The sequence below is a fragment of the Homo sapiens genome, chromosome 2 (genome assembly GCF_000001405.40).
Source record: "Homo sapiens chromosome 2, GRCh38.p14 Primary Assembly".
Lineage (NCBI taxonomy): Eukaryota > Metazoa > Chordata > Mammalia > Primates > Hominidae > Homo > Homo sapiens.
In genome coordinates this window covers 102,605,516-102,629,491 of record NC_000002.12, presented here as the reverse complement: position 1 = coordinate 102,629,491, position 23,976 = coordinate 102,605,516, and the positions used below count along the sequence as shown (strand labels likewise).

General features: G+C 40.7%; 1 protein-coding gene across 2 annotated transcripts in view, besides 1 other annotated feature; it reads right to left on the bottom strand.

Moving 5' to 3' along the window:
• SLC9A2 (solute carrier family 9 member A2) overlaps positions 1-9,939 on the bottom strand; it is a 91,803-nt gene extending 81,864 nt beyond the window's left edge. For both annotated transcript variants that reach the window (NM_003048.6, XM_047445572.1), the window contains exon 1: positions 9,355-9,939. In NM_003048.6, the coding sequence (NP_003039.2) occupies positions 9,355-9,643 (289 nt within the window). In that variant the 5' untranslated portion in view covers positions 9,644-9,939. The remainder of the gene's footprint in view (positions 1-9,354) is intronic.
• Positions 10,222-10,331: a silencer, noted in NCBI's record as "silent region_11832". NCBI's record gives its function as "represses an Ori minimal core promoter by ATAC-STARR-seq in GM12878 lymphoblastoid cells {active_cell/tissue: GM12878}" and the evidence as "EXISTENCE:reporter gene assay evidence [ECO:0000049][PMID:35858748]".

The following is a 23,976-nucleotide window of genomic DNA, read 5'->3' as shown; positions in this document are numbered from 1 at the left end:
TCTATGTGGTTTAATGAGGCCTAGCCAAATGAAAATAACATAACTCATTTGATAGTATAGGTATAAAAATATACATCTGGAAAATGTAGATATAGAAAACAGATATGGAAAAAAAGTACATGCGCAAAATCAAGTTTTCTTTTAAATGGTAATAGTTTTATATGAAAAAATACACTTTGAGCCACAAGTACTGGAAATAAGGAAGTTAAAAACTTAATAATTAAAGGAAGAACTCACTCTGGAGATGTAACAATATTGAATGAGTATGTAATAACATAGCATCAAAACAAAGCAAAAATTGAAACAATTACAAATGGTAATTGACATCACAATTTTAGAAGTGATTTTAATGTACCCCAGGAACTGATAAAGTAACCAAAAAACTGGTAATGCTATTGAAGATTTTAACACCGTAATTAGAAATTTGACCTAGTCTCTATGTGTCTGCATATGTATACATCTAAGTATATAAAATCCTGTACACAATAAATAGAGAATACACATTGTTTTTTCAAGTATAAATGGAAAATATAGTTTTAAAATGTCCATAAAATAAGCCATAAAGGATATCACAATCAACACTAAAAATCAGCATTATACCTATCTAGCCAAAATGCATTAAAATGTCAATAAAATAAAAAACAACTGGGCATGGTGGTGCATGCCTATAGTTACAGCTACTTGGGAGGCTTAGGCGGGAGAATCATTTGAGCTAAGGAGTTTGAGAGCGGCCAAGGCAACATAGTGAGAACCTATCTCTAAAACTGACAATGACAACAAAAACCCCAAATCTCCATAAGTTTATTAACTGAGAAGTAAAATTCTAACTAATTATTGAGTCAGAATAAAATATCACAAGGGGGTTTAAAAATACCGAGAGCTGAGTGACAGTGGAAACCCCGCATATCAAACCTATGCAATACAATTAAAGTAGGAAAAAAGGGGTATATTTCTAGCCTTAAATACATATATTGCCGTTCTTCCAAAATTTACCCATTTGGATCATGAGAATTCATCTTTGAGAAGAGTTTCATTGAATAATCCTATTTTAGTTCATGAAGCATTCCTTTGGCTCCATGAAGATCAAACTGATTTTGTGGACTCTGAGCATCCTGAGATGAGATCCATCAAAAGCAGTCATCATTCCAGTTTTATCATTGGTATGTTGTGTTAAGAAATCCTTTCAGAACACCCATGGTTTCCTACTTAACAGCAGTAAAGACATCATGCAATTTATTCAGAAACTGATATGTCATTTGCATAATTTTCCTTATATCTTTTGTCTTTACCATTCTCTTTATTGTTATTATTATTTGTATTAAAGATGAATTTACATAAACTTTGAGTATTATGAATACGTTTAGTTTGTGACAGAGTCTTAAGTGTACAGTATATCATAGATTTGAATTTAATGAAAACAAGCAAATACCCATATTTGGGATAAATTGATAAGGGGAATTGTCTTATTAGGAGTTTCAATAAGTAAGTAAGCTACTGAAGTAATTTTGTTCATTTTAATAAGACTGATGTCACTTTAGCATAAGTGCATGTCAATTTTGGAGCTCAGGGATTCATAAAAATACCAGCAGAGAAACTATTGAAAATAATATTAATTATGTTTTTAAATATTGGTGTTTCTTACTCTTGTAAGGCGGGAATTAACAATATTAACAGAACATAAGTAAACCAAACAATTAATGGGTTAAGTTTTTAATTCAAGGATTAATTAAATAAATAAACCCAAAGAAAGCTGAAGTAAGTAAATCATAAATGTAAGAGCAGAAGCAGATAACTTAGAAGCTAACCAAAAGCTAATTCTTTGATAAAGTATCAAATAGACAAACTCCTGCATACCTGATCAAGGTGAAAAAAAGAAAAACATAACAATATTAGAAACAGAAAGGAGAACATAAATGCATATAAAGTGGAGATCTTTTAAATCATAAAATAACTTCCAATAAATTTTTAAAAACTCAAAATAATAATTTTATAAAAAATACAAATTACCAAAATTGACCCCAGAAGACACAGATAAACCAAATAAAACTATAAACATTAAAGCCACGGACTCACTGGTTAAAATCTATCCATATACCAAAACCATCAATTCACTTGCTTTTACAGGTGAGTTTTTATATCACCCAAGGAACAGTTTGTTTTTTTTGTTTCTAAGAGAGCAGGTCTCCATCTGTCTTTGCCCACTCCCACTGGAGTGCAGTGGCATCATCGCAGATCACTGTAACTTTGAACTCCTGAGCTCAAGTGATCCTCCTGACTAGCTCCTGAGTCACTGGGACTAAAGGCACAGGCCACCAAACCTGGCTTTTTGTTGTTGTTATTGTTGTTGTTGTTGTTGTTGTTAACATTTTGAAGAGATTGGGCCTCACTATGTTGCCCAGGCTGGTCTCAAACTTCTGGCCTCAAGTGATCCTCTCACCTCAGCCCCACAAAGTGCTGACATCACAGTTGTGAGCTACAATACCCAGCCAGAACAAATGGTTTTATGCAAACAGTTCATTGTATACTTCTTAGGGATTCAATCTAGGTGAAATAATTCTGTAAGAAATAAAGCTGAGTATTGTTATCATTGTTAAAGTGGATATAATGTAACATTTTCATTTGGTGATAAAAATATCTATTATTTCTCTGATGGCCAGTGATGATGAGCATTTTTTCATGTGTCTGTTGTCTGCATAAATGTCTTCTTTTGAGAAGTGTCTGTTCATATCCTTCGCCCACTTGTTGATGGGGTTGTATGTTTTTTTCTTGTAAATTTGTTTGAGTTCTTTGTAGATTCTGGATATTAGCCCTTTTTCAGATGAGCAGATTGCAAAAATTTTCTCCCACTCTGTAGGTTGCCTGTTCACTCTGATGGTAGTTCATTTTGCTGTGCAGAAGCTCTTTAGTTTAATTAGATCCCATTTGTCAATTTTGGCTTTTGTTGCCATTGCTTTCGGTGTTTTAGACATGAAGTCCTTGCCCATGCCTATGTCCTGAATGGTATTGCCTAGGTTTTCTTCTAGGGTTTTTATGGTTTTAGGTCTAACATTTAAGTCTTTAATCCATCTTGAATTAATTTTTGTATAAGGTGTAAGGAAGGGATCCAGCTTTGGCTTTCTAAATATGGCTAGCCAGTTTTCCCAGCACCATTTGTTAAATAGGGAATCCTTTCCCCATTTCTTGTTTTTGTCAGGTTTGTCAAAGATCAGATAGTTGTAGATATGTGGTATTATTTCTGAGGGCTGTGTTCTGCTCCATTGGTCTATATGTCTGTTTTGGTACCAGTACCATGCTGTTTTGGTTACTGTAGCCTTGCAGTATAGTTTGAAGTCAGGTAGCGTGATGCCTCCAGCTTTGTTCCTTTGGTTTAGGATTGACTTGGCAATGTGGGTTCTTTTTTGGTTCCATATGAACTTTAAAGTAGCCATCAGAGAAATGCAAATCAAAACCACAATGAGCTATCATCTCACACCAGTTAGAATGACAATCATTAAAAAGTCAGGAAACAACAGGTGCTAGAGAGGATGTGAAGAAATAGGAACACTTTTACACTGTTGGTGGGACTGTAAACTAGTTCAACCATTGTGGAAGACAGTGTGGCAATTCCTCAGGTATCTAGAACTAGAAATATCATTTGACCCAGCCATCCCATTACTGGGTATATACCCAAAGGAATATAAATCATGCTGCTATAAAGATACATGCACACGTATGTTTATTGCAGCACTACTCACAATAGCAAAGACTTGGAACCAACCCAAATGTCCAACAATGATAGACTGGATTAAGAAAATGTGGCACATATACACCATGGAATACTATGCAGCTGTAAAAAATGATGAGTTCATGTCCTTTGTAGGGACATGGATGAAGCTGGAAACCATCATTCTCAGCAAACTATCGCAAGAACAAAAAACCAAACACCTCATGTTCTCACTCATAGGTGGGAATTGAACAATGAGAACACTTGGAAACAGGAAGGGGAACATCACACACCGGGACCTGTTGTGCGGTGGGGGGAGGGGGGAGGTATAGCATTAGGAGATATACCTAATGTAAATGATGAGTTAATGGGTGCAGCACACCAACATGGCACATGTATACATATGTAACAAACCTGCACGTTGTGCACATGTACCCTAGAACTTAAGTATAATTTTAAAAAATTTAAAAAATCTATTATTTTAAAGGGTACAAAAACACTTCAGAAGTAAAGTGTAGTGGCAAAATTCTAGAAGACACCCAAATTGGTTTTTAGAGAGAAGATGGAAAAGCTGTTGAAGTCATCCTTCAGACAGAGAACAGAAAATGTGTGAGCAGCCCACTGGGAGAAGATGGAGGCTTTGAGAAGGAAAGGAATCAGTGCTCTTCTTTTAACTTTACGAGGAACCAATACCTGCCACCAGAAACTCCTGAATTTAGAAGTGTATTCAAAGTGAGATGTGGTTCAGATAGCAGGTGAAGACCCTGAGCTGCATCCATTGACCAACCAGTTGATGAATATGCCTCAGGAAAACCAGAGGACAAAGAAAAACAGACTAAGTGCAAGGATAAGTTTTTTTCAGAGATCAAAGTCTCTGTAATTCAGACAGATATGAAACTCTTAGGTTTCATATTTCAATTTCAGGATAGCCTGGATCCCAGGGGAGACGTCTTCATGAAGCAAACTGCTTTCTATCTTTCCCCTTAAAATTATAAGAATATAATTTATTTAATTTCATGACAGCAGGATGGAGGGAGGTGGAAAATTCTGCATCTTACTCCAACTTAGGGGCAGAGAAAATCAAAAGAGCAGAGTGACCAGTGACACTTGAAAGGAGATGGAAATAGGCCAGCCTCACAAGACCTCAAGATATGGGAAGGTATGTTAGGGGAACCCCAGGACAAAGAAGGAGGCTCTGTTACTTTACACAGCAAGGTACTCAGTGTTTTGTCCTTAAACCTTGAGAAGAAATACAGTCCATGTCCAAGTTCACCCAAATTAGCAAAAACCCCAGTAGGCCACTTCACAGGCAAAGAAATCAGAGGAGGCAATCTTAAAACACATCAGAAAATTTTATCTCAATTCTTTGGCTACCCATTATTCCAGGTCGTAGAACCCCATCTCTCTATACAAGATTTATCAAGCAAAGTGTGTACTTATAACTATAAAAATAATCAACGGTTGCTCAAAATATAAATATTCAAAGTGAAAGAATAATGTGAATTCACATGTGCAAGGACCTAAGTAAGAAACAAATGAGGAAACATTTCTTGCCAAAACTTTTAAAGCTTTTCCGAGGTGTACTAAATTTGCTGTGCTTTAAAAAAATATTTTGACCTACTTCATAAGCACATACTCATCATCATCTTTACCATCATCACCATCATTATCATCATTGTTTTGGTAAATGTTATAATTACAAAACTACTTTTTCTGGACCAAGTAATTAGGATGTTGATTTTCCCTGATAATCAAGTGTAACAATTAAGAGCTAAGCTGAATCATTCAATGCTTTGCCAAAAATGGATTTTCTCACTTCTGATTGTAATATTTCTAAGATTATATTAGCTGATAATATATAATGTAATATATATTATATTAGAAAACTATTCTGAATTCACCATCAGGCATTATTTAAACCCCCTACAAATGTTATTCGGATCCTCCACTTTGGACAGCCTGTTAATTTAACCACGTTTAGATTAATCACTAGCAATGTTTCTCCATGTTCTCTGAGGCAGGTAAGGTCAGGTACACTACACAAATGGCACAAAAGTGCCCCAAATAGAAACCATGGCATTTTGCAGGGGTTAGCATTTGCATTACCCCACAGTATCATATCCACCTGCACAGCTCAATTCCTCTTCATTCCCAAATATGAGCAACTTAAGTCATATAAGCCACCACAAAACAGCTTTTTCAGAACAAAAGTTGAAAGAGAAATGACTAGATGACTGTTTAATGGGGTACGAAAGTGTCCCACAGCACCAGGACGGTCCTGCTTAAAACCAAACAGAAAGTTCAGAACCCTGGGAGCAAGAGGAGGGGTGGGGATTTCTGGGCATTTCCTGGCTCCTCTAGGAACACAGGGGAAGCTGCAGGACGAGGCTGGGCTCTATGCAGACGAATCTGGAGAAAATACCCCAGGCACCAGCATTTTGGACTCTAAAACTCCACTTTCTGTCCTGAGAAATATACCCTTCACTCTACCCATGGCAGTCTCCATTTGGCTGTTCAGACCACTCTCTGCATGGAAATTATCATCTCTGTGACACTCAGATGCAGAAAGGAAAGGTAAAGTAGTAGCCAGAGACGTTCCAAATTTGGGGGAGGACAGGAGGTGCAATATGTGATGATTTCCATAGCCAAGCACAATGCAGGGGAAAGCCGAAACTGGCAACTAGAACAGAGGGGGCCCAGGAAATATAAACATATCTGGGCTAAAAAGATGCTAGTGGAGAGACAAATACACCTGTTATGCAAGCAAGCATGAATGCCTTTAACAAAATACCACATAATGAAAGTGAGATGGTCCAATAAAATGAATGGAACAGGACAGCAAGAGAGTAAGTGCGGGAAGGCAGCCCACAGAATAAGAACACTTGTAGAAGGCTGAGGCCAAAGCGGAAGTAAAGAGAGACAGGTGGCAGCCCAGGACAGTCAACAGTGGAAAAGGTTCTGTAGTGCTAGAAACTGTACAGTTAACTACTACTACTTTGACTATACCACTGTCCTCACTGCTACTAATGATGATAGTATGGATGGAGTGATGGAGTGCTTACAGTGTGCCCAGCTTTATTCTAAAGATGTTACACATTCATTCTCATTTAATCCTCCCAAAAGAACAAGCCTTCTGGAAACGCACAAAGATGAGAAATGAGACAGACCTGGCTGGAATTCTGGCTCACCACCCACCACCAAGTTAATCTCCCCATTTTTTCATTTTCTCCTATATGAAACCAGGAAAACAACACCTACCCGGCATGGTGACTGTAAAAATTAGAGATAATGCCCTTAAGTGCCTCCTAGAGGCTGTTATTATTGTAACTAATCTGATTAAAACAATCAGGAATGATGAACAAAGGAGATAGTTGGAATAGAAATGGCAACAGAGAAGCAGTAATGGAAACAGGCACAGAAGCAGCCCTCCAGCGATGGAGCCTTGAGGCTCAGAGAGAGTGACAGGGAACAGGTCATTCATTTTGGCTCGCCACTTTGTGTGCTTCTGGGTGCAAATTCACTCAGAGTTTCCACCTCAACTAGTGGGAGTATTAATACCGCCACTCCCTACAGGGCAGGCTTGTGGCATCTGAGTTTATTATTAGAGGCAATTTACAAACATGTGTGTATCTGGTTTATAGGTGGGGAAGCCCATCTCCCTTATACCATCTCTCAGTGGAATTAAGACACTCAACTAGTAGCACCACGTCAAAGCCAGTCAATTACAGACTTCAGAGTTGTTAAATAATATGTGTCTCTCTTAGTCACCACTAATAGACTCTAATTAATCTTATCTGGCATGAAGATTTGCTTCCGGTTTACCTACCACAACTTCCACCCTCCTGTAAACCATCCCTTCTACCTGCTTTGCACTCCTCTCCCAATTTATGTCTTTGTTCAGTCCTCTCTGGAATGTTGCTCCCTTTTCTCTCTAACTGACCAGATCCTGGTCATCCTGGAAAATCCAGTTTAAATGTTTGCTCTGCATGAGGAAGTGTTCTCTGCTTCCCTGCAATGGCATACTATCTTTTCTGAGTTTGTCACCCTACTCAGCACTGTCCTGGGCAATAATCACACAGCGTGTACACGTCTCTCCACTCATCAGTAAGCTCCCTGAGGATGGCAGACAATGCGTCTTTTCATTCTTTATGGAAATCTGCCTCATCTCACAGGGTAAAGACGTAAAACACATGTAATGCATACATTCTTTGGACCTAACAACTTAATCGAATCATTATAACAATAGTTAATATTTCAGGATTTTTCTAAAGTCTTTAAAATATAAAGTAAAAATAATATAAAGCACCATGCTCATAACATGAAAGTTTCTGGGGCGTGGGTAATGAAGATGAGAAAATATATTCTGAGGTTTCTGCTTTCAAAATGAGAGTTAAAGGTAGTATGAAAGTGGGTAATTTTTTTTTTTTTTTTTTTTTCCCTGAGACAAGGTATCTCTCTGTGGCCCAGGCTGGAGTGCAGTGGTGCCATTCATGGCTCACTGCAACCGCAACCTCCTGAGTTTAAGCGATCCTCCTCCCTCAGGCTCCCGCCTCAGCCTCCAAGTAACTGGGAATACATATGTGCACCACAACACCAGGCTACCTAATTAATTAATTAATTGATTGATTAATTTTTGAGACAGAGTCTTGCTTTGTTGCCCAGGCTGGAGTGCAGTGGCAATCTCGGTTCAATGCAACCTCCGCCTCCTGGGTTCAAGCAATTCCCTCCCTCAGCCTCCCGAGTAGCTGGGATTACAGGCGCCCACCACCACGCCCGGCTAATTTTTTTGTATTTTTAGTAGAGACGAGGTTTCACCATGTTGATCAGTGATCCTCGTGATCCACCTTGCCTCAGCCTCCCAAAGTGCTGGGATTACAGGCGTGAATCACCTCGCCCGGCCAATTTTTTATTTTTGTACTGTTTGGTCTTGCTATGTTGCCCATGATGATCTTGAACTCCTGGCCTCAAGGGATCCTCACGTCTGGGCCTCCCAGTGTGCTGGGATTACAGGCTGGGCCATTGTCCTGGGCCCAGAGTTAATTATTTTTAAATATGCATCTCACCTCACTGGCCTCAGCCACCCCGAAGCAAAAGCTTCCTGGAGAGTGACAGCCTCAACCCAATAGAGGGAGGAGAAAGGGCGTTCCTATTGCAGCTGCAAGCACTCAGGTGTCCCTGGTCCCCTTCCATGCACCTCATTAGTCAGGCGCACAGCAGGGTCTGTGTCACTGCCAAGGCGCCTCTCTCCTGTAGCATCCAGGGTTTTAACCACATTATGCATAGCTCCGGGGTTCGTCGGCACCTCTCTCCCTGCAGGTGAGACTGGTACACTTCAATAAACAGATCTCACTCAACTTAAGCAGAGAGCTGACAAACTTGGCGTTCCGTGCGGCAGAAGTAAGCAGCAATCGCTGAGTTTGTAGAACTTACACTTGGGGCCATTTCAAGGCCAATGTTCCCTTAAGAACCAAAACGCGAAACTGCTCTTCCAAGGGTCCTTTTCAACCAGAAGAAGCTGCTCCATCTGTCGTCCCTGCCCTGATTCAAGATGAGGCGGTCACTATCTAGAGGTCAGCTGGCTGACCCGGTCACCCTCCAGGTGTCCCCCCGAGATCGCCCCCTCCCATTCCCCACAAGTCCAGTTCGCTCACCAATCTTGGCCAGGGAGGCCAGCAGGATCCAAAGGGTGATCTCGAAGGGGATCTGCACGTGGGGGTAATCCAGCGTAAACACAGGCAGCCGGCTCTCCTCGAACAGCGTCGTTCCGGGAGCCACCACGCTCGCAGGGCTAGGCGGGCTGGAACTGGTGCCCATGGCCCTCGGCGCGTTCAGCAAGGTCTCCGCCAGGGCGCCCACGGGCCCCGCCACCTGCAGGAGCAGCAGCAACAGCATCGGAGGCAGTGGCGCCCGCAGGCTCCTCCAGTTGCCCAGTGGTTCCATGGGTGCCGCCGGTTGCCGCCAAGGGGACCGGCGGTTGGCCCTCCGAGCGCTCAACGCATCGCGCCCGGGCTGCTCAGCCCGCTCCGCCCTGCCCCGTGCAGGGCAGGGCAGCGACAGCCACCCGCCGCTGCTGCGGCACCGGGTCTCTGCAACCAGAGGGCTAGGTCCTCGCTGCGAGCAGGCGCACTGCCTGGCGAGGCACGTGCAGGGCGACGAGAGGCCGCTGCGCGTACCCTCAGCAGCCCTCAGCCGCCCTCCGCCGCCGGCCGCCTGCCCATGCCGGTGCGCTGCTCTCCAGCCGCAGCGGCAGGCCCTGCCCAGGGCGGCCCGCGGGCGGGGGCGGGGCGGGCGCGGCGCCCAAGCCGCAGGGCAGGAGGACAAGGGGACCTGGCCGGCACACCGCGCACCTGCCCGAGCCCGCGGGGAACGCGGGGCCCCAGTGACCGCGGGGGCGATGGCTGCCCTCCCTTCGCGCAGGCACCGCGCGCCAAGACCCGCCACCCCCAGAGCCAGCGAACTGTGGGTGGAATCGCCGCAACGGGCGCATGGTGGCCGGAGCTGTCTCCGCCCCGGAGGCAGCGTCGGACGTCCATCCAGTGAAGGAACCAGCGCGACCCACGAGTCGCGCCCTTCCCTCCTCCCCCGCCCCCGCAGGCTCCTCCAAGGGGACACCCCGGTGCGCTGGGCGCGCGGGGAGGCGCCACAGGCTCGCGGTCCGGAGGAGAAGCCCGGGCCGGTGGAGGAGGAGTGCTGTCACCCCAGCCTGGCGCTGCGGAGGCCAAGACAAGGCATGGGATTCTCTGGACGTACAGAAAGTTTAGGAAAGCCAAATTTTGTTTCCTTTCCGAGAGTTATCAACTCGCGCACAAGGTGCTCTGAACAGGGAAACTCCCTGCGCGGAACTCAGTGTTCCCACGCCCCCACGGAATCGGAATCCTGTTCTCTCCTCTTGCCACATTGTGCTGCTTTCACCCATTTGCTACACTGTCGCTGCCACTTTTCTTCTCCCTCCCCCAGCTCACGTAAAAAAAACCAAAACATCTTTCTCCGCTTTTAGGCTTAGAGGTGTACATGTCCAAGAGCATAAGAAATATAATTATTTCATGGAAAACCAGTGATTTGCCTCGCTCAGATTGACTTGCTCCGCTAATTACAGGACAGGCTGTGGTCAGGAAAAGAAAGGAAGCGTGATTCTTCTTCTGGATCTAAAAGGGCTTTCTCATGCAGAGCCAACCTTTCCTGTCCTTCAGAGCGCCTCCTTCACTGGTTGCGATCTCACTGTTTGAGCATCTTTATCGCCAGAAACCGAAATGAGCACAAAGGGGACTAGTTGCCATTCAATTAACTGAAAGTTTTCCCTTTGATATTTATGAAATAAAATCCTTCTCTTTTCTTAATCTTTGATGTGTCAAAACACGTGGCTTCTACTATTAAACAAACACCAGGCAGTTCGACCTTCAAAGCCGTTTTTTTTTTTTTTTTCTTTCAAAGTTCTAACATAGAAAATCAGTGAGATGTCAGCAGAGGGTACAAGAAAAAAAAATCCTCCACCTGCATAGAAGAAAATAAGGAACAGTCCTCTTTGGGTCTTCAAAGTAATGGAGGGACAAGTCCAGGCTAAAAAGAGAGAAGAATTCTGGGAGATGTTACAGAGCACTACTTCATTTGATATTTCACAAAGCATCAGTTTTTCAAAAGCGCTACAGAATTGAAACTAAAGATATTATCTTGAGAAGAATCATTGGGCATCCAAAACTCAGCCTCCCCTTCTCCTTTCACTGGAAACGTTTATTAAAGGTATGTGCCTAACATACCCCTGTGAAAAGGCAGCAAATAAGAGATTTTTAAATTTTTTGAGTATCTGTCTCTACATGGGAAGCTCAATACAAGGCACTTTACTTGCATTTTTTTGTCAATCGTAAAAATCCAAAGAGGCAGATATTTTTTACCCATTTTATAAGTGAAGAAATATAGTGTAGAAATGTGTAAAAATAAACAAATAGACTTAATCAAGTTTACATATTAAGTAAGTGTCTGGATGGAATTCACACCCAGGCCTGCCCAGGCTAACACTGGTATCATCTCACCCTCTACCCCATGACTAGTTGCCCATAAACAGCACGCTATATTCTCAGCTACTTTAAAATAAGCAGTGGAGAATATTACAGGGATTGTTCAAAAAAGTTACAGCAGGATAAAGTTTTGGTAAGTGAATCAGGCAGTTCTACAAACTTAGTGACATAGTAATAGGGAGAGGGCACATTTAGACAATACTTTCTAGGAGTTTGTCACACAACACTTTTAAGAATAATTGTGTATCATGAACAAGAAAATGAATGACAAATCTGTTTCCGGGCCCTCACTGCCTGTAAACCTTATGTGGTATCACTTCAACTTTATACATCTATGCTACTGCAGTTAAAGGCTATCCACTTTTTTTTACATTTGAAAAAAAAGTCGTTTTATTTATTCTTGTAAATGGGAGGCGAAGAAATTAGTCTAAAAAGACATTCTTTTCATCTTTCCCTTAAAGCAAATTTAAAAAGAGTTAAATTATGCCCCTATGCTGAGAGCGACTTGGCCTGGCTATTTCTTCAAAGTGCCCTCTGACTAGGAGCTCAGCCGTGAAAGTGATAACACCACCCATGGGATGACTGAAGCAAGAAGCGAAACGTGTGTACACATTTAAAATCCTTTAGTGGTTTCTTAGCGACCTTTGGACGTCTCACCTGGTAGCTGAATTTCTGGACTAATTGGGGGGTCTTCTTTTATGCCCTTTGATCTCCCATAACTTTTCAGCACTTAATCATTTTGCTTTTCTCCCACTGAACATCTCTGTGAAGGTATTGGTCTGTTTAACTCATTCTTTTATCTTTAGCTCCTAGCATATTGCCCGGAGACAGTGAGTACCCGCTAAATATGTGTTGGACGAATAAATGTATGAATTGACGGTGAAATCAACAACTCTCACACACTACGGATCTGAGCTGCAGGGCTTTCTCACAGTTAGGCCAGTTGCAGGATGGACATGAATTCTCCTAGTTTTACATGAAATGTTTTCTCCAGTGATCCCTCATTCACATTTTGGCATCTCTCATGTCTTTTTTCCCCCTTCTACCCAAATGATGTGTGAATTTAATCACATTACAAGATTTCTAAATATTTTTAGAAATTATAGTTACCTGATTTCAGATTGACTTTCACATAGCATAGAAATATTTACTAGGAATTTATGAACCTTCTAAGGCAAATGCGTACTTTTCTCTGCACTTTGCTCAAGAGTGGTCCATTAGAATATTACTGTATTTAATGGAATACTTTAATAGGAGTAACTCTCCTGAATTATACAGCCATCAAGCAAGAGAGTAGATCTGGCATCACTAGGAATCACAAAGGATTTTGGAATACTTCCTGGTACAAGGGAAAGAAACTAGTAAGATAAAGCTGAGTTAGCTTAAGAGGACATGCACCTTAAAATATAAAACTGTGAGCTGTGCAGAGGAGATTAGGATCCTGACCTAACCCAGGACTGATCTTAAATCCCCCGCTCCTGCACTGGAAACTTCAGGAGGAACTGAGGTTTAACTTTGTGTCTCTTGCCATACAGAACTTAGAGCTTACTGAAGAGTTGTAGAATGTTGAAACCTCAGGAACTTCTGTATGAAGGAGCAGGTAGAGGTCTCTGCATGCCAGCAAACATATTCTTCACAACTCCAAAAGGTTTAATGTGCTATCTGTCTTTTTCAGATGCAGAGTGGAAGCTGACACAGAGGAAGGGAACTGCTCATTAGTGGCAGTAGCTCTTCTGCACCACAGTGCGGCGCCAGAGGTTAGCACCTCCCTTAGAAGCTAGCATGCAGGAGCAATGTATGCTCTATCAAGAGACAGAGACCAGGGAACGGCTCCATCCTCAGATACCAGTGTAATAGTCGCAATAGTTACTAATAATAGTTAGATATTAATATGTCATACTATTCTTTGCACATTTTTATAATATTCATATTTTATATTCCCCTTTCTTTAAAATGTGCATTGCACAACCACTAGCCATTAGTTGTGTAATATATCAATTGAGAATCTTTGCCTATAAAAAGTTGACTCTCATAATACTGTTGATTTGGTTATTTTATTATTATATTTGAAAGTTCTCAATGTTTAAACTACTTTCTTTTTTTAAGAGACTTAATTCTCAGCAAAAATCTAAGGACTTCTTCTTAGAGAGCAGTCATGCAGTGGCGTGAACATTTTACTGATGCCCACAGAATTAATACTTTCCTCTCTTTCTTTTTGGCCAAATATATTTGTTTCAGCAGAGAAATGTTTTGCTTTATGAAAAGGTACTTTCTGCAAATTCAAGCTTATAAATAATCTTGGTACTTTTTTGTTGTTGTTTGGTTTTGTAGAGATGGAGTCTCACTGTGTTGCCCAGGCTGGCCTCAAACTCCTAATAATTCCTGGACTCAAGTGATCCTTCCTTCTCAGCCTCCTAAGTAGTTGGGACTAGAGGCACACCACCACACCCAGCTAACAGTGCTACTTTTAATGTTGAATCCTCCTAATATATTTAAGCTAAGAGTCAGCTTTCAGATATCCAACCACCAAGTTTTTCAGTGCTTTGGTTTTCCTCCATAAAATAAGGGACTTGGGGACAAGTAACTTTATGTTTCTTTATAAAAGGTTTTAAAAATTTAAGATATTAATCTAAAACATCCGTGTAGAATGGACACACACCTACATCCTGCTCCAGATACTGTGATGTCACATGTGGGAAGAGAGACTCCCTGTCCTTTCAACTCTGTCGTGTATCATCTGAACTCTGACATGCAATGCAATCAGAAAGCAAAAACTGAACTGATCTTGCAGGGAGAAAAACTGAGGTCTGTCTTGGGTACTGATGCTTATATACCCTACTTCTTAGGGGAAAGAGAGATACAGAAATAAGGATGATTTTAGAGGGATAGTAAATGACTTTTACAGTTCCCATAGGAACTTCTAAATAGAATTCTGTTGTTACATATAAGGCACACTCACTCATCGATTCAACAAATATTTGTAGAGTATATATAGTTGCTAGGTACCTGCAACTAAGCCTCTTTGTACCTTTGGGGACCCAATAAATGAGAGTGCTTCAAGGGATCATGGCAAAGATTTTTCTAGAAATAGGAGTGGGAAATAAGGACTACTTTTGCAAATGTATATTTTGTTTACTATTCTAGAATTTACTTAACTGCTAACATACTGGAAATAGAAATCTGACCATTTCCAGTCTTGGAAATAGAGAAAGCAGAGTCAAAAATGCCTATCTTCAAAAAATGCCAGTCTTCACTCAAGCACCTTTCTCCACTTTCCACTGCTCTACGATCTTTAGTAATTTCCTAAGGCTTTTGAGTTTCCATTTATCCAACCAAAGTTCACTCTAAAAAACATGTTTGTGTAGATCTTAACTAACAAGAGTTTACCTCAGAAAATCTCTTCAGCTGCTTCCAATCTGAATGAGGTCCAGATTGTTCACAGACGACTGTTTCTGTGGTTTCTTAGTAATTTCTTTATGGGGAAGAAAATCTGGTGAGTATACCTCTGAATCTCTGTACTCCCTGCAGTCCCTGAGCTCATATTGTTCTACTATCAGCCTTAAAACTTGAAAACATCTAAAAGGGACAACATTAGCTTAAAACTTAGTGGGTATTACATTATGCCTTACCTATCTTTACTTAGGTTTTTCATCCATCCATCCATCCATCCATTCATTTCTTTATTTGTACAACCAAAAATTAAGTATTTTTTAGCTTTCTGAAAATCAACTATGTGCAAAGCATTCATTCCTGCAGGAGATACAGAGATGGATCACATGAATCTTGCCCTCGAGAACTATAGAACATGACAGAAGAAATATAGTAATACTGTTGGGGCTAAAGTAAGTTTTTCTTTACCCTCAGTAGTTTTGCTGAAAAACCAACTCACAATAAGGCAGATTAATAAGAGAAGAGGCTTTACAAATTTATTACTGCCATGAGCATGGGGAGAATCACAGAGTGGTTTGCCAATATCCCAATAGGGTACCAATGCTATTATATTTCTTAGGGAAAAGGGAGATAGGGAAGTGTGGATGATTTTAGGGGGATACTAAATTATTTTTACAGGAATTTAATGAGCTTGAAGAGCATGCAATGGTCTGGGGCAACATCTGTTGAGCCCATAGAGCAGAAAATTGTTTGTAACAAAAGTCTGTCCAGGTAAGTTGACAGACTTCAGTCTTCCTTCCTCCAAGATAAGTTCAGTTAATGAAAACTCGAAGAAGGGACTGGAGGTAATTGTTTTTTCTGTTTGGTAAGTCCAGACTTTAGGCAGATAAGGCAACTTCACAGAAAAACTTTATCCTGTACTTAGGGGGAGATGGTGGGTAACAGGAAGGCCAGAGAGACCTTGGGGCCTCTTCTTCAGTTCAGCATGTACAAAGTACTATATTTTCAGGTATCAGTTTTTGAGCCCCAACATTAGCAGTGGCTAATATTTGCTGAGTACACACAATGAGACAGGCTCTTTTTCAAATGCTGTATCCACCATCTCATTAAATATTTATAATACCCTAAAATTATAGCTATCATTGGGGTATCTATTTCACAAATAAGAAAGCTAAAGACAGAAAAATTATGTAACTTGCCCAAGGTCACACAGCTAGTCAAGACTTGAATATAGGTAATTTGACCCCAGAAGTTACACTCTTAAACACTATGCTACAGAATAATGATGATAAATGCAATGATGGTAATAAGGATGGTGATGATGGTGATGGCAACGATGGTGATCATGAGGATGGTGGTGGTGGTGATGATGATGATAATGTTGATAATTATGATGTTACCATGAATTTAGAGATTCTAGTATTTTTTTACTTACTAGTAAACAACAATCCTATGTGGTCAATATTATGTGCCCTAGTTTAGGAAATAAGAAATGTAGGACTCAGAAAAGTGAAGAAAGTTGATCAAAAGCTGTTCAGTCTAAGTGAGAAAACTGATAATAAAACACAAGTCTCTTTCCTGTCTTCTAAGCCATGCATACATAGCTACAAGAGTGCTTAGAATGTGAGAAGCAACAAGAGAAATAAATATCAAAGGTTTTGGGAATTAGGGTAGGAACAGAGGCCTTTGCACATAGGGTCCTGGAGGCCCTGGCAAGGACATCAGTATTTACACTAAGATGGGAAATCTTTGGAAGGTCTGGGCAGAATCAAGTGAGATTATCTGACTTTTATTTTAACAGGTTTCTTCAGTTCTTGCATTGAGAATAGACTTTATGGGAGCAAGGAGGAAAGCAGAGATGAAGGTAGAAGGCTTCTAGAATAATCCAGGCAAGAGATGATGCTAGTTCGACTCAATTTGGTGACAGTAGGAGTTATAAGAAGTGGTCAGATTCTAGAGATGTTTGAATTCTGAATATATATTTGAAGGTAGGTCTGAGATTATTACTAAAAGATCAGATTTGGAGGGTGAGAGAAAGAGAGGAAACTTTTAAATTAACAGTAGGCCGTTTTGCTCTGAGGACTAGAAAAATGAAGTTGCTTTTAACAGAGACAGGGAAGGTTGTGGAAGAGGTAGGTGAGGGAGATATTTGTCAGGAATTTTGGAGATGGTAAATTTAAGGTACCTGTCAGACCTCTAAGAGGAAATGTCAAAGGCAGTTGAATATTCAGGTTTGGAGTTTAGGGGAGAAGATCAGAGTGGATATATAAATCTCTGGATCATCAGCCAATCAATTGGCATATTATTAATAGTTATGAAAATACTGTGCTATTACAGAGAAACTCAGCCCCTAAATGATGGAGCTTAAATTCAAGTCCCAAACCCTAGTGACTGAAATGAATAGAAATATCTTACTCAGTTAAAGTCCAATTCACAATAGAGAAAAGGAACTGGTTTGTAGGAGGGGTTCTGCTCCACAAAGTCATTCAGGAATCTAGGCTGACAGAGGCTTGCCAATTGGCATCGTCTCTCTGCTGGTATGGAGGACAAAGAAATGACGCACATAGGAAATTTTGGGGAGTACAGATCACTTCTGTTCATACACCATTGGCAAGAAGTAAACTAGTGGTCACATTTAGATGTGAGAATAACTTGGAAATATAGTATCTGGCTGAGCAGTTTTTTTTCCCAAGCAACCATTCTACACTAAGGAAGGGAAGTACTGGTCTTTAGCAGTTACCTGGACACCTGTTCCATAGCTAGCACTGAGATCACCTATGAAGTGAGTGTAGGAGGAAAAATGAAGAGGTCCAAGGACTGAACCATAGGACATACCCACATTTGGAGGCCAAGGAGCTGATTAAGAACCCGTGAAGAGACTGAGACATTTAGGAAATAAGAAGAAACTCATGAGTGCTATGTCCAGGGAGCCAAACATAAAGAGTATTCTATAGTTGAGAGTGAAAAACAGTATTAAATGCCACTGGTGGGTTAAGTAAGATGAGGACTAACACATGGCCTTTGATTGAAAATCATGGAAGTTTGGGGACCTTGAGAAGAACAATTTTTGTGAAGCAGTAGATGTAAAATCCTGACAGGAGTAGATTCAAGAAAGCCATGCAGGAGAGAAGTTGGAAATAGTGAGGATCAACATCTAGTTCAAGGAATTTTACTGTATGGGGAAGGAAACAAATAGACTTTTAGCTGGATGGAAACACACAGCTAAAGAAAGAAAATTTTTGGCCGGGCGCAGTGGCTCACATCTGTAATCCCAGCACTTTGGAAGGCCAAGACAGGTGGATCACCTGAGGTCAGGAATTTGAGACCAGCCTGGCCAACATGACAAAACCTCATTTCTACTAAAAATACAAAAATTAGCCGGGCTTGGTGGCACATGCCTGTGATTCCAGCTACTCAGGAGGCTGAGGCAGGAGGATCACGTAAACCTGGGAGGCGGAGGTTGCAGTGAGCCGAGGTTGCCCCACTGAACTCCAGCTTGGGCGACAAAGCAACGCCTTGTCTCAAAGGAAAAAAAGAAAATGTTTAAAAATTGGAGAAATAACAGCATATTCGCATAGTGGTGAAAATGAACTAATGAAAATACAAAAATGGATGACTTAGAAGAGAAAAAAGGAAATAACTGAAGCACTGTTTATTAAGATGTGAGGGGTAGTACCTAGATGCTTGTTGAGGGATTGGGCTTGGCTGAGGATGAGTTATCCACACCAACAGGAAAAGGAGGGCACAAGTACAAGGTGGTGAGCAGATGTGATAAGGAGAGCTTGGTAAAGTTCTGGTGTCATTGCTTTAATATTCCATTAACAGTGAGAATGAAGAAAGAGACACTGGAATTTTGAGGAGAAAGATGAAAATATAAAATGTGTATTAAAGAAAATAGAAGAGAAAATGTAGGAAAATAAATTCTGGATTCCTAACAGAATTAAGGACCCACTTGAGGTTAATAACCATGAATTTAAAATGGGACCAGTTAGCTCAATTGTGTGTTTTCTGCATCCTGTATTCACTTGCACAGGTGTAAACATGGAGTGAGCAGAGATCAGACTTAACCTACATTGCAGTTTATCAGGCATATAGGAAGGGGCGAGTGCTTCTGCAAAGGAGTGGTATATGGTGGAACATGGAATTTATGCCAGGTATGAAGGAAGAGCAGACACAGTTGAGATAGGAGGTGGGGATCCCATGGTAGGATCAATGGTTTTCAGCTGCCTCAGTGGAGGCAATTAATGATGTAGTCGGAGTATTAGGAGGAATGAACTGGAAAAATAGGAGGATTCAACAGTAGAATGTTTTAACGTTGAACATATATATATATATTTGTTTATTTTAATGTATACTTTTGGTTTTGAGAAAAGGGCTGCAAAAAGTTAGCCATTGATTCATTTATTCAACAAATCTTTCAACTGTTTTTTTTAGACTTGTAATAGACACTCATAATTAACTACTGAAGTTAATTTTCTTATAGATTGCCATAAAACTTACATGGGAGCTCAAGCCTCAAGTCAAACTCTGAAGAAAGTTCTGACTCTAGAAGTAAATCTACAGCCTGTAGCATAGATGCAGGCAGGGTCACCACAGTCTTAATCTTCTCAATAGGCCACTGTGGGTCCCAGAGCCATTGGCTCAACAGAGCACCACTCCACTTACACCCCAGCAGCAAGGTTCCCCTCTCTCTCTTCCCATCCCTAGGAAGGGTGACATGGAAGCTGAAATGTAAGGAATCAATTGACTGAATTAAAAGGAAAGGAAAGGGTCCATGTATGTGAAAACCTCGATGAAGAGTATAAAAGCAAGTACACACAACTGTTTAGGTGAAGACCAATGTCTTTACTCTTCCTCATGTTACCCTTTACCACAGTGTAATTGCAAAGCTTCCTTCATAAAATGAGACATTTTGCATTCAAAATATAACCTCCCCCATCTTTCTAGAATGAAACTTTAATTGCAATCAACTCCATGTCAGCTGCCTGATTTCCAGGGCTGTGCATTGTCAGTCTCAGTGACCAGGACTGTCCCTCTAGCATGACAGGTCCTCATTAAGTGTTTCCAGATGAGTTATACCATTTTATTTTACATCATAAATATATTAAAATTAGATCTCAAATATATTCTGGCAATGGGATATACAAAATGGATGAACCTGATAAATATGAAATCAGGATCACAGGAAACCAGGACAAAGACATTTTCTACACTCTCACCTGTTCTACGTGTTCTCTTTTGAAAGAAAAAGTGGAAGTTAATGCACAACAACTCTATACATTACTTCTAATTCAGTAAATCTACTATTTACATTTTCAATTTTTTGATGTTTAGAAAATAGTACATACTTCCTGTTTTTGCCACGGTCCCAGGTAGAGAACATTTTGCATATTCTGGGCTTGGAGATTTGAGATAATTCAGGTATGCTATTTGCAAAGATACCTGACTTAGCTTCCACACAACTTATGTTTCAAATATCAGGAAAGTTTTACTCCTTAAGACTAACTGTAAATGCATATTTTCTGGTATGCATTTAATATATTCTATGCTCTTCTGGAATATAGGTTTAACTTTATGAAAAGTATTACAGTAGTTTTGAAGAGAAAACCATTAACTTAGACCAATGGACCGATATGAGATATATTTTCCTGTATTAAAAATAATGATAATAATAATTATAATGCTCTCCTATTGTAAAAGTATGTGTTCAGTAAAATGGACAAACTATAAACATTCAAAAACAGATTTATTTATGAAGACAATATGGCATCATCAAGATAAATGACCAAATATGCAAAATCAATGGCCCTAGAAATGAAATTTCATATTACAGTGAGACTCACTGAGAATTCCATCGAAGAGTAAAATTGTCCTTCTATAAATATCCTCTTTTCTGGAATAACTGACCAAATATTAGACTTGATTGTTTATGAGTGCGGATTATATTTACCATTCTTTGACATTTAAATATAAATTTTATACTTATCACATTGTTATCTTGAATTATTCTTTGACTTTATATTTGAATATCTTCTTTTTCCTCCTGGAATTCGTAGAGGAAAAAAACGAATGAATGTTACAAATGAATGAATAGTAAACAAAATATGGTAGTTATCATGAATAACTTACAATATGGTCACATTTCTATAGCTTCTCAGGCTTTAATTCCTTTATTTTTTCATTTATGAAATCAGGGTAATAAGGCCTACTTTAGACAGCGCTGTCAGGATTGACTGTGGAAGTGTATGTATAAGCACCTAGCACAGGTTTGCACAGAGTACGCACTGAATGAATATTAACTAACCGCGCTATATGGTACCAGGTATTCTCTGCCAGACCCAAGACTTCCTGTATCACATAATACAATGCATAATGGCCAACAATATTGGTCAATAACGCTTGCATCCTTTATAAATGTCAGGGAATCATAAAAATATATATTTAGACTAGGCCTCAGTTTTCTTACACAAAGGGTGGACTGACAGTAATGTAACTTCTTCACAAGTGTAATTAGGAATGGATTGAAGGGACTTAAACTGTTGTATTAGTCCGTTTTCACACTGCTATAAAGATACTACCCGAAACTGGGTACTTTATAAACAAAATAGGTTTAATTGACTCACAGTTCCATAGACTTAACAGGAAGCATGGCTAGGAGGCCTCAGGAAACTTACAATCATGGCAGAAGGTGAAGAGGATGCAAGCAGGTCTTACATAGTGGAGAGAGAGAGAAAGAGAGAGAGAGGGAGAGAGCAGGGGAAACTGCCATACACTTAACAAGCAATCGCATCTTGTGAGAACTCACTCATTACCATGAAAACAGCATGGGGAAAACCACCCCCATGATCCACTCACCTCCCACCAGGTCCCTCCCCCAATATGTGGGGATTACAATTCAAGATGAAATTTGGGTGGGGACACAGAGCCAAACCATATCAATTGTCAGTGATTCAAAAGTAACTTGTGATCTTACTTTTATTTTTATGACTTCTTGTAGGTACTTATGAAAACAACCAAAAAGATATTTAAAAATGGATGAGGAGGGGTAATTTTCCAGAATACCAGTCTATACTGTGCACTCAATTCACTATTTTCCTTTGTTTTTTTTAATGGAGTCTCTCTCTGTCACCCAGGCTGGAGTGCAGTGGCGCTATCTCAGCTCACTGCAACCTCTGCCTCCTGGGTTCAAGCAATTAGCCTACCTCAGCCTTCTGAGTAGCTGGGATTACAAGCATGCACTACCACACCCAGCTTATTTTTGTATTTTTAGTAGAGACAGGGTTTCACCATGTTGGTCAGGCTGGTCTAGAACTCCTGACTTCGTGATCCGCCCGCCTCGGTCTCCCAAAGTGCTAGTATTATAGGCGGGAGCCACTGCACTCGGTCTCCTTTGCTTTAAAAAAATTGCTTTCTTCAGTTTCAATATTCAGAGGAAACACTATATTCCTTTGGATCTTTAAGTATGATGAACATCAAGAATGGCTAAATCATATCAGATATGAAAATAAGAAACTAATTTCAATTCCACTGGACTTAATTTCACATCTACTCAGGTTTAAATTCAGGCCTATCTAGGTTTTAAGTTTTAGATTAAATTCACTCAGATTCATTTCCAACTACTGGAAAACTTTGGCAAAGTTGCCAAGCTCAGAAGTTAGTAGGTCAATTCGCCAAGAATTCCCTGCAGTCCTTGAAGTTAAAGGTTAGCAGAAAAGAGTTGCAACAGCACTTTATTAGGAACACACACACTATAACCATCAAAGAGGCTGCCTGTGAGAAGTTTCACTGGGCCTGAGGCACTGTTTTCCCAGATGTTCATGTTTAGTAGTTACATCACAAGTGTAAACCAGGTGATCCAAGCTCATGAACTGGAGCCAAATGAATCACTGAATGGAAAGCATTCAGAAGCATTTTTAGTAGTACTTACAAGGGAGGTGACAGCCTCCACAGTGCCAGCAAGAAAAGACAACATCCACATCCTAGTTATAACTAATGGTATCTTCAACTCCTATCCTCTCCTATGCTAAGCTGGATATCTGACTGGAAGAAGAAAGAGCTGCGTCTTCAGGATTATACAAGCACACGAAAAAAGTGCACACACACATACACACACACTCCCAGTCTTTTCCATTGCAATATCTGCATTTACATCTGTAGAGAATGAGGTCCTTCAAGAATGCACTGACTTGCCAGGCACAGTGGCTCACACCTGTAATTCCAGCACTTTGGGAGGCTGAAGCAGGTGGATCACCTGAGGTCAGGAGTTCAAGACCAGCTGGCCAACATGGTGAAACCCTGTCTCTACTAAAAATACAAAAATTAGCTGGGCATGGTGGCTCATGCCTCTAATCCCAGCTACTTGGGAGGCTGAGGCAGGGGAATCACTGGAACTCGGGAGGCAGAGGTTGCAGTGAGCCAAGATTGCCACTGCACTCCAGCCTGGGCAACAGAGAGAGACTGTCTCAAAAAAAAAAAAGGCACTGATTTGCTCAAAGGTCAGTGCCAACCCCAAGTAAAGAATCTTGCCTTCTGACTCTCAGCTTGGTCTCTTCCCATTTGGCTAAATGACAACTGGTACTTTGATCATTCAAACAGGTTAGTGTGCCTTAAATATTTATTTTCAGGTATCTACCCAAGATTGATTGGGAAGTTTTTCATATGAATGTATGGCCTCAATAAAAGATGCTTGGTGAAGGGCCAGGCACAGTGCTTCACACATGTAATCCCAGCACTTTAGGAGGCTAAGGCAGGTGGATCACCGGAGCTGAGGAGTTCGAGACCAGCCTGGCCAACATGGTGAAACCCCATCTCTACTAAAAATACAAAAAAATAGCTGGGCGTGGTGGCAGGCAGGCACCTGTAATCCCAGCT